Source organism: Homo sapiens, chromosome 10, assembly GCF_000001405.40.
Source record: "Homo sapiens chromosome 10, GRCh38.p14 Primary Assembly".
NCBI classification, from domain to species: domain Eukaryota; kingdom Metazoa; phylum Chordata; class Mammalia; order Primates; family Hominidae; genus Homo; species Homo sapiens.
In genome coordinates, this window is record NC_000010.11 from 123427210 (window position 1) to 123440433 (window position 13224).

At 44.9% G+C, this 13224-nt stretch overlaps 1 long non-coding RNA gene across 5 annotated transcripts in view, besides 2 other annotated features; it reads left to right on the plus strand.

The window, feature by feature from the left end:
* Window positions 1-13224, plus strand: part of LINC02641 (long intergenic non-protein coding RNA 2641) — a 214291-nt gene that overhangs the window by 79287 nt on the left and 121780 nt on the right. For 2 of the 5 annotated variants that reach the window (XR_001747617.3, XR_001747619.3), the window contains exon 1: window positions 1845-1961. The exons of the other annotated variants lie outside the window; for them this stretch is intronic. This is a non-coding gene — a long non-coding RNA (long intergenic non-protein coding RNA 2641). Of the gene's footprint in view, window positions 1-1844; window positions 1962-13224 lie in introns of those variants that run through there. 5 annotated transcript variants of the gene reach the window in all.
* Window positions 2262-3350: an enhancer, noted in NCBI's record as "VISTA enhancer hs578". NCBI's record gives its function as "enhancer in: neural tube[6/7]" and the evidence as "EXISTENCE:transgenic organism evidence [ECO:0001131][PMID:17130149]".
* Window positions 7511-7696: a silencer, noted in NCBI's record as "fragment chr10:125194236-125194421 (GRCh37/hg19 assembly coordinates)". NCBI's record gives its function as "represses an EF-1alpha promoter that drives an FKBP-Casp9 reporter gene in an ReSE screen in K562 erythroleukemia cells {active_cell/tissue: K562}" and the evidence as "EXISTENCE:reporter gene assay evidence [ECO:0000049][PMID:32094911]".

Here is a 13224-nt window from a genome sequence, read left to right on the forward strand (position 1 = left end):
AGAACACAGGCTGAAGTTCCCCCTCGCACTGAGAGATGCCTCCTCCCTGGCCAGAGATGACAAATGTGGCAACAGAGCCATAGATATCCCGAGTCGGGAGAAGATGGACAGGGAGAAGTCATTAGCAGTGACAAAGGGTCTCCGTAGTTGAGCATCAGTCGCCTAAAAATGATTGCTAAGGTTAAAGCTGGCAGTGAGGGAGAGGGAAGGGGAGACCGGCAGGGAGATGGGACTGTGCCTTGGGCTATTTTATCTGAGATGGCAGAGGTTCAAGACAGCGCAGCCTCCAGTCCGCACCTTCCACAGCCTGGCCAGGGAATTTTCTGCCCTCTCTGTTGGCATATTCAGGTTGGAGCCCTGCAGGAGAAGATCGCACACTGCAAATTGAGCAAGTCGCTGTGATTTCGCAACTGGCTGCGCTTCTGCATTTCTGAATAGAGAGTGACAGGAAAATCCTAACATGAGCTCGAGAAATACTGTCTCAATTAACCGTCTTTATTACTGCATAGCACTTTGTTTTATTATATACTTTCATTGGCAAACCATAGCAAACAATTTCACTTCAGCAAACAACATTATGCTTGTTCCAGCTCCTTTTCATTTTGCATTTATTTTGTCATAAAAATAAAAGACAAGGAAACCTCTCATTTATCACTAGATCAAAAATTTTCCTGCCATTTCCTTGGGAGGAAAAAAAAGAAGAAATTAAGAAAATTTAGGGTGATGCTTCTAGTACCTAAACATGAAAGTATCAACCGATATGTTTTTGAAAATTGAAAATAAAATTATGGAGAAAATGCTTTATTTGATTCTCTGTTTATGGGAAATTCATTTTATTTGACTTTTTTATTTGTAATATCAACTATGGAGCAGAGCACAGTTTGCAAGGTGTTCCCTGACAGTCTCATTCTTCTAAATTATTAATGCCGTGCTGTTGATATATTGTCAGCCTTGTACCTACATTCTATGAAAATGAGTTTTACAGTAGGTTGGGATTTATAACAAAGCTTGACATATGCAGCTAATTCACCTACACAGTCCTGTCAGTTTTAGGTTCATAAATAATTGATACTCAAGGCTTGAAGTTCAGCTACTGTTAGTACTTCAGCTGTTAAATTTCAGCAGCATAATGGATGAATATTTGTTTATAATTTCTGTACATGGTCCCGATGTCAGCTCCCTTGCTTCATTTGCATAGGTAGATTGAGATGTTGGAAGTGTAATGAGCGCGTGAAGATGACGAATTGTTTGCCAGGATGCCGGTGCGGTTCTGTAAATGTTTGATTAGTTCTGAATGGATTACTGTTAGATTATCTGGTTCAGAGGTTAACATGAGCAGCTCTTTGCTCCCGGAGCTTTTGTGATCCCTTGCTGACAGATTTTAAAATTCATACCGTGAGATCAGAGCTGCAAAGGCGAGGGGGTGTTCTCGGCAACAGATGTTTGGTAATTAAGCATACGGTTTCCTTGTTTTGGAGAGCTGGAGGAATTTCAAATTGGCAGGATTTGTTCCATTGGAGGAAGCTCGAGTTCTAAAGAAAATATTCTTACTCCCCACCTAGGTGTTAGTGGCTCAGCTTCCCAATGACAGTAACTGGAAGAAGGATCCACACAGAGAAATCTGGGGAGGAGTGGGTTCCAATGCCAAGGGAGGGCAGCTTCTTGTGATTTGTCCACGTTGGGAACCATGGAAGTCATCTGCAAATCATTGCCAAAGATATGTTTTAGCTGGAGACCAGCAGGTATAAAGGTTCAGACATCTCATTTGTGACCTAGAAGACATCTCATTTGTGACCTAGAAGGTAGGGTGGTCTCTGGAGGCCTTAGAGGGAGGGGAGGGCTTTAGGAATTCCCGCTAAACGACATCTATACAGAGCCTTTCTGCTGACACGGGCCAGCAAGTGGTTAATATCAAAAAGCAGACATCTGAAGAGGCACTGACACCCTCCCACTCACAGAAGGTAAGACAGTGTGTGTGTGTGTGTGTGTGTGTGTGTGTGTGTGTGTGTTTCAACCCAAAGAAAGGAAGGGCTGAGTGAAAGCCATGAATCTGGTCCTGTTATTCTTCTCAATGAGCTTCCAGGAGGAGGACGGGCCTGGAACCTCCCTCTAGACCTGAGGCAGCCCAGCATAGCTGGACCCTTCTGCCAGCTTGGACCCCTATTGCATTTCAAGGCTATACAAACCACCTACTTAGCACTTACCCCACCTAGCACGGCTTCCCTCTCCAACCACGCCTGTCCCTTCAAACCCACCATCAAACCTCTGATGCTCCTCCTCTCTCCCCAATCCCACCAGCGCCGAATCAGAAAATGGAGGCAACTGGGCCTTAATGAAAAGATTTAGTGCTTGCAGCTAAACAGAACTGAGTTCCAGCGCTCTCTTGAACTATATTTTTCCAGTCCCGCATCCAGTTCCTTAGCTTGTCTGGCAATCATGTTAGTGATTATATGGGTAATGAAACACGTGCTCTTTTTGTCTGAGCCTCTGATTAATCTGCCTTCTCTTTGGCCTTGATTTATGGTGCTCAACTCTGGAGGTGAATGCTGGCCCATCAGTTCCGTAGCTTATTACAGACGCAGAGGCTGCTAAATGCCTCGGAGGCTTGAATTGTTTCTTGACAGCCAGGCTTCTTGCTACATTCCCTCCAATCTGTTTTGGTTCCTGGTGTGACCTTTCATACAGTAAAATACATTAGTTGAATAGCACAGTCTCATTAAAAGAGTGAATTAACCGAAGAGTCTTTTTAACTAAATGACAGCCAAAGGACTGAGTGCTAATAGCCACGAGCAGTTGGAAACTTAACTCATGAATCAGCCCTGTTAATACTGCCTCATGCCTGAAGCGCCGAGGGTACTGCGCTCTCTGCCGGCTCTCGTAAGAAGAAAAGCTCATTACTTTCCTCCTGATGGGAGAGAAAGAGTGAGCGAGCAATAATAAAGCTTGAATTTTTCAATACTGTTAAAAATGGGGCTGACAGATTGCCGACAATAGGAGCAACGGGCCCAGACGCTGCGTCCGGAGCCGCTGAATTAGCAATACCATATATCATACAATCTAATTAAATCAACCCGGAGAATGAAATTAGTTTTCTGTGAGTGAAATGGCCTCTGAAAGAGCTCTATTAAATGAACTGGAGAGCATTAATTAAATAATTCACAGTGAGGGATTTTGCATTTATACAAAAATTGTGCACTTAATTGTCCATGCTGTATTGCAGATCTGGCCTTATGTTAACAATGTGTCGAAAGCACACTTATTGGAGCATATCAGGAACAGCTGAACACAAGCGCAGCTTGGAAATTTTTCTGGGTTGGGCCAAGGAACCTAAGAAAAAGCATCCAGGGACACCTAGACCTCAAAAGTTACCTGGCAAAGTTTTTTGCATCTGCCAAAGTTTGTTTCCAAGGACTCTGGCGGGCTTCCGTAATGTATTGTAATGCTTATCCGAGATGCCCGTGGTGTTTGGGTTGGCAGTCTCTTGCGGGGGGTGGGTGGGGGTGGTGGTTGGAGAGCTCCTCCTGGCTTGACCTCTGTAGCGGGGCGGGTCTTGGTTAATTTGGAAGCTTGGCAAGTGTCTGGCAAATTTTGGTATCTGTAGGTATTCATCCGGGAGAATCAATTTTCTTTTTTTCTTCCCAAATGTATTACCCAGTTATATGGATTCATTCATGTAAACCCAAGCATATTGGGTGCAGTGAAGGAAAAAGTGAATTTAGAAACAACATGTTAGAGAAATCAGACACCATCCTTCTTAGAGTCATGGATCTCAGGGTTGAGAGAGACCATAAAAGTCATTTAGTTGAAATCTTTCTCCTCCAAAGAAACACCTAAATTTCCTCTATAATATTCCTGCTCAAATACTTATAAGCACTGAGGAGCTTCCTCTTGCTCCAGGGAACCCACATTATCGTTAGACAGCTCTAATTTGGGGCAGTCTGGGCAGCATTGCAAAGTGGTTAGGAGCTCAGGCTTTGGGGTAGATTTCTGGGTTTGAATACCAGCTCCCTACTTGCTAGCTGTATGATCTTGGCCAAGTGACTGAACCTCTTTGGGTCATAATTTCTCCATATACTGAGACAGAGATAATCATAATACCCAGATTGCAGCACTGTTAGGGGGATTGAGTTCATACATGTATGGCACTTAGAACAGTGTTTGGCACGTACATGTTGGATAGTATTATTTTGTTATTACTAAGCTTCTCCTTTCACACTCCTAGTTTGATAGCTTGGGACCAATCACAGCTTGATTTTTGAAAGTCTAATTTAAAAAGTCTTCCTTGTCTTTACTGTTTCTTATTAATTAGATAATTTGGTGATTGAAAAGGTCTAAGTTTTTTTGGTTTGTTCTTTTTGAATTTAAGACTTTTGAAAGTTTTAAGCATGTTCCTACTTTGGAGCCAGCTTTCTCCATCCACGCATCCATTTTCCAGGCCGTGTGGGTACTGAGGGGCTGCGGTGGATGAGTCAGACAAGTCTCTGTTTCTATGGAGTTTTCATTCCCATTTTCCTTTCAACTGTACTAAACACGTTACACATTTTTTAAAAGTCCGTAAAATGGTGAAAATTTAAAAATAACAAAAAGATAAATTCTTATAGAATGTCTGAGTAGAAAAATAGATACTAGGCTAGGCGGGGTGGTTCATGCCTCTAATCCCAGCACTTTGGGAGGCTGAGGCAGGTGGATCACAAGCTCAGGAGTTCAAGACCACCCTGGCCAACATGGTGAAACCCCGTCTCTACTAAAAATACCAAAATTAGCTGGGTGTGGTGGCACGCGTCTGTAGTCCCAGCTACTCAAGAGGCTGAGGCAGGCAAATTTCTTGAACCCAGGAGGCGGAGGTTGCGGTGAGCCAAGATCGTGCCACTGCACTCCAGCCCAGGCGACAGAGCAAGACTCCGTCTCAAAAAAAAAAAAAAAAGGAAAAATAGATACTAAAACATCAGAAATCATAAGACTACCTTGCAGATAACTAAACCATCCTTAGAATACACTCCCTTTGAGGCCCATGTTTTATACCTGGGACTCCCAGTCTATCTATACTACTATCCACTAAGATATCATTTTAATTCCCCAGTGGTCTTGGGCAGTTCCAAATGAAGCAAGCCACCCTGAAACACAACCAGCAGTGTCCTAAACAACATGCATCCACACAACAGTTTTGTTGACTCTTTTTTTAAAAGGCGTAAAACTTTTTTTAAAAGGTGTTTATTTCTAGAATATTTATCTTAGTAATCCTATATGTGTTCCATGCCTTTATCAATTTGCTTTAGAGATTGTTAAAAATAAGCCTAGTCTTGTATTTCATTAAAAGAAAGAGTTAAGATTTTCAATAGGATAGAACCTCACAGGACAGTTCAGTCGTCAGGGGTTGCAAACATTAACATTTTGAGCCCCTGCCATGTAAACAGGCCCTATGATTCTAAATAAAATAGAATCTCTAAGTCATCTATTTTTCCTCCTCAAAGGAAAAGTTAGCACCTGCTTGGCAGGGCAATCAAACCAAAACATAGAGGGAAAGAGAGGTTCAGAATGGAAATTGAGAGTGAAGAGGAAGAGTATGAAAAGCTTTGAGACATTTGTAGAGCCTGCCAAGGTTGGAGCACCCAAAAGAAAGTGCCTGCTAAGCAGCATTGGTAAGGGTAATAATGTAGATTCTTTTTAAGGTCATATGAGACACTCAAAGATTAGAATTCTTTTTGGTTGCTGAATTCTGTTTCCTTGTGACAATTCTGACATTGAGCCACTTGGAAGTTTTTGGGTTACAAAGCCATATGCATTTTCCATACAAGGTATTAGGTTGGCGCAAAACGTAATTGCGGTTTTTGCCATAATGGCACCGTTGTAGCAAAGATTACTTTTTGCATCAACCTAATAGATGGGAAATCAGATATGGCTACTTATTCACACTCCACCAAATAATTACTGAACATTTACTATTTCCACAGGAGGTACAGAGATATTCAGATAGCAGTGCTGGAGTTATAAGTCTTACATAGTATGTGCTGAATAAATATTTGTTAAATGATGAATGAATAAGTGAGTGCCTATTGAATAGAAGAACTAAAACATGTTTATTAACTCTAGTAAGGGAATAATAACAACAACAATAATAAGCAACACTTCTTAAACTCTTGCTATCATCCAAGCAAGCGGTTGACATGTGTTTACTCTTTAAGATGTGCTGTGAGTCCTAAGTGAGGCAGAGACACTGTGGGAGTTCGAAGGAGAAAGACAACTTTTTCATTTTGGAGGGTGGAGGTGACAGTCAGAAAAATCAAGAGCTGTGAATCAACTACCAGCATACATGCCAGTCCTGTGGCAATACATGACGTGAATGGTCCCTACCTTCAGAGAGCAGGGACACAGTTTGACAAATAAGGAGGGTGAGAGGTTCACACGAGGCCGTCTTTAACAGGTGTCTCCAGATGGACCTGCGACTGGTGCTGTGAAGGCCCAGTGTGAAGGGGGGCAGTCACTGTCATCTGTATGCTGAGGATGTGAGGGCGGGATTGGGGTGGTCAGACAAGTGTGTGTAGGGTTCAGACAGGCAGCAAGGGAGGCAGATGACATCCATCCACAGGGTCCAGTAGGACTGAGAGGTGGGAGGTTGTTCTGGACAGAGAACAAGGAGGCCAGACTGATGGGGCAGGGATTCATGCAGGTCCGGGATGGGGAGGATTGAGAGAGCAGAGTGAGGAGACAGCTACATGCCTGAGTGTGGAGGCCCAGAGCACCAGGTAAGGAGCTTCTGTCGTTGCTGGGTAACAGGAAGCCTCACCATCTCATCACCCAGGGGAGGGTGGGAGGGCGTCTTTTAGGAAATGCATAGTTGTGGCTATGCCTAAAATGGACTAGAGGTACCAGGCTAGGCAGAGATGGTTGCAGGAACCAGGTGAGAGGCCAATGCACACCCAAGTTGCCAGGGAAGGGGAAGCAGCATTGACTGTCAAATGCCTCCGTACCTTTCTAAGAGGGACCTTGTTCTGATCAATAGCAGCCTTTCAGTTATGAGATTAGGCAGGGTCTCAGAAAACAATGCTGCTCCAATCCAATCTCGAGCTCCAGGACTTTAGCTGGTGGCCAGTAACAGAAGGGCAGGAGGAAATATGAATTTCCCTCTCTTTTGGCATTGATTGTTCCTGCGAATCATGTGTGGGCTTTGATTCCCACTCCCCCAAGCCCGAGCAGGAAGGAAGGAGTGTGCTGGGCTGGGGACTCAGGCCTCATAACTCCCTGGGCCAGGGATCTGATGGGGGAGCAGTTTCCTTGGGCCAGGGACCAAGTAGAGCAAACGCAGAGTGCGATGGCATCTTGGCGCTGTGATGTCCCACCACCAGCTCGGATAGTCACTGAGGTTTCCTTTGTGTGGTGGGTGGCTGGGAAGGCATGCGGGGTGCCACGGGAGACGAGCAGGGTATGCAGGAGCATGCCAGTGTAAGCCCCAGCCCCTTAGCACGTTGACGGTGTGTGGACCCCTAGTGGAACCTGAGTTGGTAACTCTCCCTGTCTCGATGTCACACTCACACACAGAACAAACACATCAGTGACCGATCAGACTGTGGTAAGGTAAATACATCATCGCAGAGAGAAAGGGGCTTCCAAACTGTGGGCGAGCCTCTCTTGTCTTGCAGGCCCTGGCCTGGGCCTCTTCCAGCAAGTTGCCAGTCACTCTTGGTCATTGGCCCAACCTGTGGTTCCTAGGAATGGCAGCCTTCCCTTTGCTCAAATCCTCCCCTGCCCAGGAGTATCACTTGCATTTGCTTTTTTACAGGTTGAGCTCTGGTTATCCAACCTACCTCCCCACGTGAGGCCATTTGGCGGGTAGGACTGTCAAGTATTCAATCATTTGCACCATTACCTTTAATATTAGCTGTATTTAGTTTATTCATAAAGGCCTGTCTCACATGAGAGGATTCTTTCCATAATCGTGACAATTGCGTGCAAGCTCCCCTCTGAAATGTGTCATCTGTCTCCTTCAGTAAAAATCCAAATGTTCTTGCTGGGGTTGAAAAGAGAGGGATTTCTTTGGTTCTCTCTCAGCCTCTTTCCAAGAAACTCGATCTTGTCGGGGCATGAACACTGCCTGGGCAGCCCTAGATGGCCTTGGATGCAGCAGCTGCCCCAGCAGGAGGCCTCGGGTGGTGGGTGGTAGAAACGGAAGGAACCTTGGGATCGGGTATTACAAACTCGCCATTTTACAGCCATGGGGACTGAAGCCTAGAGGGGCTTTGAGGGAATTGTTTGTGCTGCCTCATCAGGTCAGTGGTGGTCTGGGTTTGAACCCGAGTCTCTTGTTCATGGGCTTTTCCTGCTGCATGTCTGGGCCACAGGCCAAGCCTCAGGACTGAGACCTGCAAAGTGATAGGTGCCTGGGAAGCCACGGCCGGTGCTCTGTGCACACTGCCCTAGTTGTCACACTAACACTGCAAAAGAACTCATGTGCTCCTGGTTTTCAGCTCAATAAATGGAGGCTCAGAAGAAATGAAATTGCTTGTCTGAGTCCTCACAGCCAAGAAATGGCACCAGCATTTGGATCCAGGCTTGCCTGGGGCTGTGCACTGAATGTTTATGGCCCCCTAGAATTCATACGTTGAAGCCTAACTCCCAATGCGATGTTGTTTGGAGGGGCTACCATTAGGAGGTGATTAGGTCATGAGTGGGGGAGCCCTCAGGATGGGATTAGTGCCCTTATACAAAGAGGCTCCAGGGGTTTTTCTTCCTCTCTCTCTCTCTCTCCACTCTGGGAGAAAACAGCCATCTGCAAACCCGGAATCCGGCCCTCAGGAAACACTGGATCTGCCAGCACCTTGACCTCAGACTTCTGGCATCCAGAAGCAGGAGAAGTGTTTGCTGTTGAAGCCACCCAGCTCCCCCTCCACACCCACCCTGCTGTGCAGTCTCTTGAGCCTGTGCTGCAGACCAGCCTGGTGGACTCCACTGGAAGACCACGGCTCTCAGCACAGTGTCTGTAAAAACCAGAACCAAGCAAGACTTGGAACACTGTGGACACCTCCAGTCTGACTGCTCCGTGCTTTGCCTGGGTGACCCTGTGCTGGTGCAGGCTCCCCTGAATGGTGGTCTCCTCCCAGTGTGGGGTGAAAGCCTCTGCCCTCAGGGTCCCTTGACTCAACATATTTATCTCCCCAACACCCACCACTGTGTGCCTCCTTCCCACATCCCTGGTCCAAGGAAGGGCAGGGTAGCTCCCTCCTCTTTCTACTTGTCTTTCCTCACTACACCTTCAGGGCCCCGTCTATGCAGGTTGGCTGAGGGCCAGCCCAAGGAACCAAGAAAAATCTCCTCTGTCACAAAACCTTGTGCCTTGTTCTGTTGCAAAGTTCTATTTTGAAGGTTAGAATTGAAATGTAATCTCCTTCCTTCTGTAACAAATTCTCATCTTCCCAGAAGCAAATCGTTCATGCAGGCCAAAGAGAGAGAAGGCCAGGTACTCAGTAGAAGTAAAAAGAGAAACTCATACTAATATTTAGCCAAACATTTATCCTTCTATTTATTTACTTGCTTACTTATTTATTAACTCATGTTCACCATTTAAAAATTACAAAATACTGATAGGTATTTGATATGTTGCATTACAGGCTTTTCCTAAGTGCCTTGTATACAAGTCTACTTTCCACAAAATGAGATTATGCTCTACATATCGATTTAAAGCTCACTTTTTGCAGTGAGTGAACAATTTGGAACTGTAAGAACATCTTGCCCATCTAGTAGACTTCTCCACTCTTCTTCCTGGCTGCTGAGTCTTCCATTTTTTTCTTTCTAAGAGTGCTGTCACTTATTCAATCAATCCTTTATTGTTGGACCGATCACATATCTGAATGTTGCTGGGCTGCAGCACAGCTGTTTTGCGATTTGGAGGAACCCAATCTTTCTCCTCCCACCTGTACGGTGAATGCTTCTGCTATAACCAATCAGAATAACAGGGCAAACATCTGGGTATTTGAAACAGTATCTGATGTTAACTGGACAGAAAGACCACCCGCAAAATGAAGTTTTCATTTCACCCAGATATGTTTTTCCAGATATTTGGAATCTCGTAGAAGGCATCCCAGAGAGGCCACTCCTCTCTTTTTCTGGTTTCTTGGACTTCTGCATCAATTTCTTGGATTAGGGGGTTGTTCTGTGTCTACTCATTCTTGCTTCGTGAAATTCTAGAAATTCTGGGTGCATCTTTTTATCTCATCCCAGAGTATGTTCTGTTGTTTGATTCCTTCTTGTGGTAGCTGAGACTTTAAGAGTTTCTTTCTCAACTTTTTATCTTGAAAATCTTTAATTAGACAGGAAAGTTGAATAAATGTCACAATGAATATATATATATATATACACACACACACACACCCATGATTTAGATCAAACTTTGTTTCTGTTATCTCTTTCTGTATAACAAACCACCCCAAGTGCAATGGCATAAAAACCACAATTTCACAATTTCTCATTCTCACGATTCTGTGGGTCGACTGGGTGATTATTCTGCTTTACGTGGTGTTGGCTGGGGCACTGGGATAGCTGGAATGTCCAAAATATTCTTACATGGCTAGGAGTTCAGAGCTCATGGCTCTCTCCATGTGGCTGTTTGGGCTTCTCTGCAGCATGGTGGCTGGGTTCCTAGAAGAAATGGACCAAGACACAAAGCAGAAACCACAAAGGCATTTTATGACCTCACCTTGGAAGGACCTCACCTAGGAAGACCTCACAGCATCCCCTGACACTTTTGTTCACAAGGCCTGTCCAGATCCAACAGTGGGGAGCTCCATCTCTTGACACAGGTCGGGTGGAGGGAGTGGGGAAGGAACAAGTGGCAAGGTCACAGGGCAAAAGGTCATGTAGACGGGGGGGATGTTGTTGCCTTGGAAATGTAATCTACTACAGCTTTTCCTCTGGCTACAAAAATTTACATTCCTCCCACCTGCAAAAGACTCATTCACTTCCTCCCCTAAAAGTCTCATCCCATTACAGTGTCACACTGAGGCTCGAAGTCCATCTTGTCATCAAAGTCAGGTATGGTTCCTCCACACAGGGGCCTGGGAACTAAAGGACACAGACCCAGCATGCCATGGGAAGACAGGGACAGGATAGCTGCAACAGACAGTCCTGCCCAAAAGGAGGTCATTTCACACTATGAGTGCTCCTGTCCCTGTTGATCCTGCATATAAACAAGTAAACAAGAAGGGTCGGCTGGGAGTGGTGGCTCACACCTGTAATCCCAACACTTTGGGAGACTGAGGTGGGTGGATCACAAGGTCAGGAGTTTGAGACCAGCCTGGCCAATATGGTGAAAACCCGTCTCTACTAAAAATACAAAAAAGTTAGCTGGGCATAATGGTGGGTGCCTGTAGTCCCAGCTACTCGGGAGGCTGAGGCAGAAGAATTGCTTGAACCTAGGAGGTGGAGCTTGCAGTGAGCCGAGATTGCACCACTGCACTCCAGCCTGGGCGACAGAGCAAGAGCAAGATTTCATCTCAAAAAAAAAAAAAGAAAGGTCATCTTTGAGTCATGGGCACCAATGTGGTAGATTAGTGCCAATGTGAATTTAGGGTGCAAAAGTCATATCACATGTTGTATTATTATATATACTAAAATAGCTTTTATTTGTCAATGGCTTCTGGATTTCTAAATCCAATGGACAATTCCCAATCTTCATTTTATTGGACTTCGCAATACACAAGGCTGATATTCACAGCCAATGGGTTGGTGAGCCACCTTTCTGTTTAAAAAAAAAAAAATACAGGAGGAAAAAAAAACTCCAGCTAGGTATCTACACAGGAAAAATAGATGGTTAACAGTTCCCCATGGTTTCCAGGCTCTGAGGATGGTCTAAGCATCTCCCAGAGTAAGAAGGTCTCCATGGTGTTTACCATTTAACACATCAGATTCCAGTGGTCTCTGTACATGGCACTTATTTTCTTCATGAAGTGGAACTTGAGTGTTGGAAATGGCCCCAGATCATCCTATACAACCTCCTCATTCTGTAGACAAAGAGAACTGAAGGTCTGTGAATGGCAGACACTTGGGCAAGGTCCCACGGTGACTTAGTGGCAGAGCCAGGGGCATCCTCTAGCTTCTCATACAATAATCTACTGTCTTGGATAGTTGCTCGTTCTCCATTCTGTACACACCTACAAGGTGTCTGCTGTGGGGCAGCTACTGTAGCAGGCATGAGGACTACAGAGAGAAAAATAAGTACTCTATGCGCTGAAAATGCTTAGAGTCCCAGCCAGGGACACACCCAAAGAGGAGCAGCTTTAGTTCAAAGCATGTGGATGCCGGGTCTCTTGGAAGGTTTTCCTCTTAGGAACCAGTGTTAATGGCATCGCTTTCAAGACTTTGCGGGCTCCTGATTCTTGAACAGGGGTCAAGATGTAGACAGTTGGCACGGTTCCACTGAGGTTAGCCATGCGCAGCAGGAATAGGGTAGGTGGGGGCACATTCTGCCACGGTGACCATGGCCTCTGTAAAGTGAATTAGGGGCAATTGCCAAGTGGACCAACATCTGCTTCAGCGTCTTGAGAAAGCTGAAAATAAAAATCGATGCGTATAAAATTAGGCTGTCGAGTGAACCTCAGACCACAGGTAATTGCAATCTGAGTTCACGTTGCTGCGACTATCCTGAACAGCTCAGAAAACAGGTACTTTTCACCACATACAGTGTCTGTGTTCTCAGCTCCTGCTCCAGGGATAGTTTCTGGCTTGTTAAATGACACTGCTGGACATCCCCCAGAATTTAATTTTAATATCACCTCCTCCTCCTTTGCTTAACATATACCCATTTATGTTCTGCAATTTCAGAGAAAGGAACATATAATAATTATGTTTTAGAAATTGGAACAAGAAACTAGCAGATGCAAGTTTAGTGAATATTGAGTTTTAAAATTGTCTGGCTGTGATTTGTGGCCATGTCATGGCAAATATTTTTCAATGTCACTGCCTTAGCCAGTGCTGTCACTAAGGCAGTCAGCTGGGGAATAGAGGGCTGAACACTATGATCTCAATATTAATGGGAGCTGTTGAAAGTGGCAAAGGTGATAAAGTATTGTTTAGCTATTGGTGCCATACTTTGGCTGCGGGACATTATTATAAAACGCAGTCTGTTTTTGTCAGATTTCAATCATGGCTTCAATAACATGTTTAGAAACTTAGAATACAGGAGACCACAAAACAATGATGTTTTCCCCCCTTAAACTAAAGGACTTTAGATTGCAA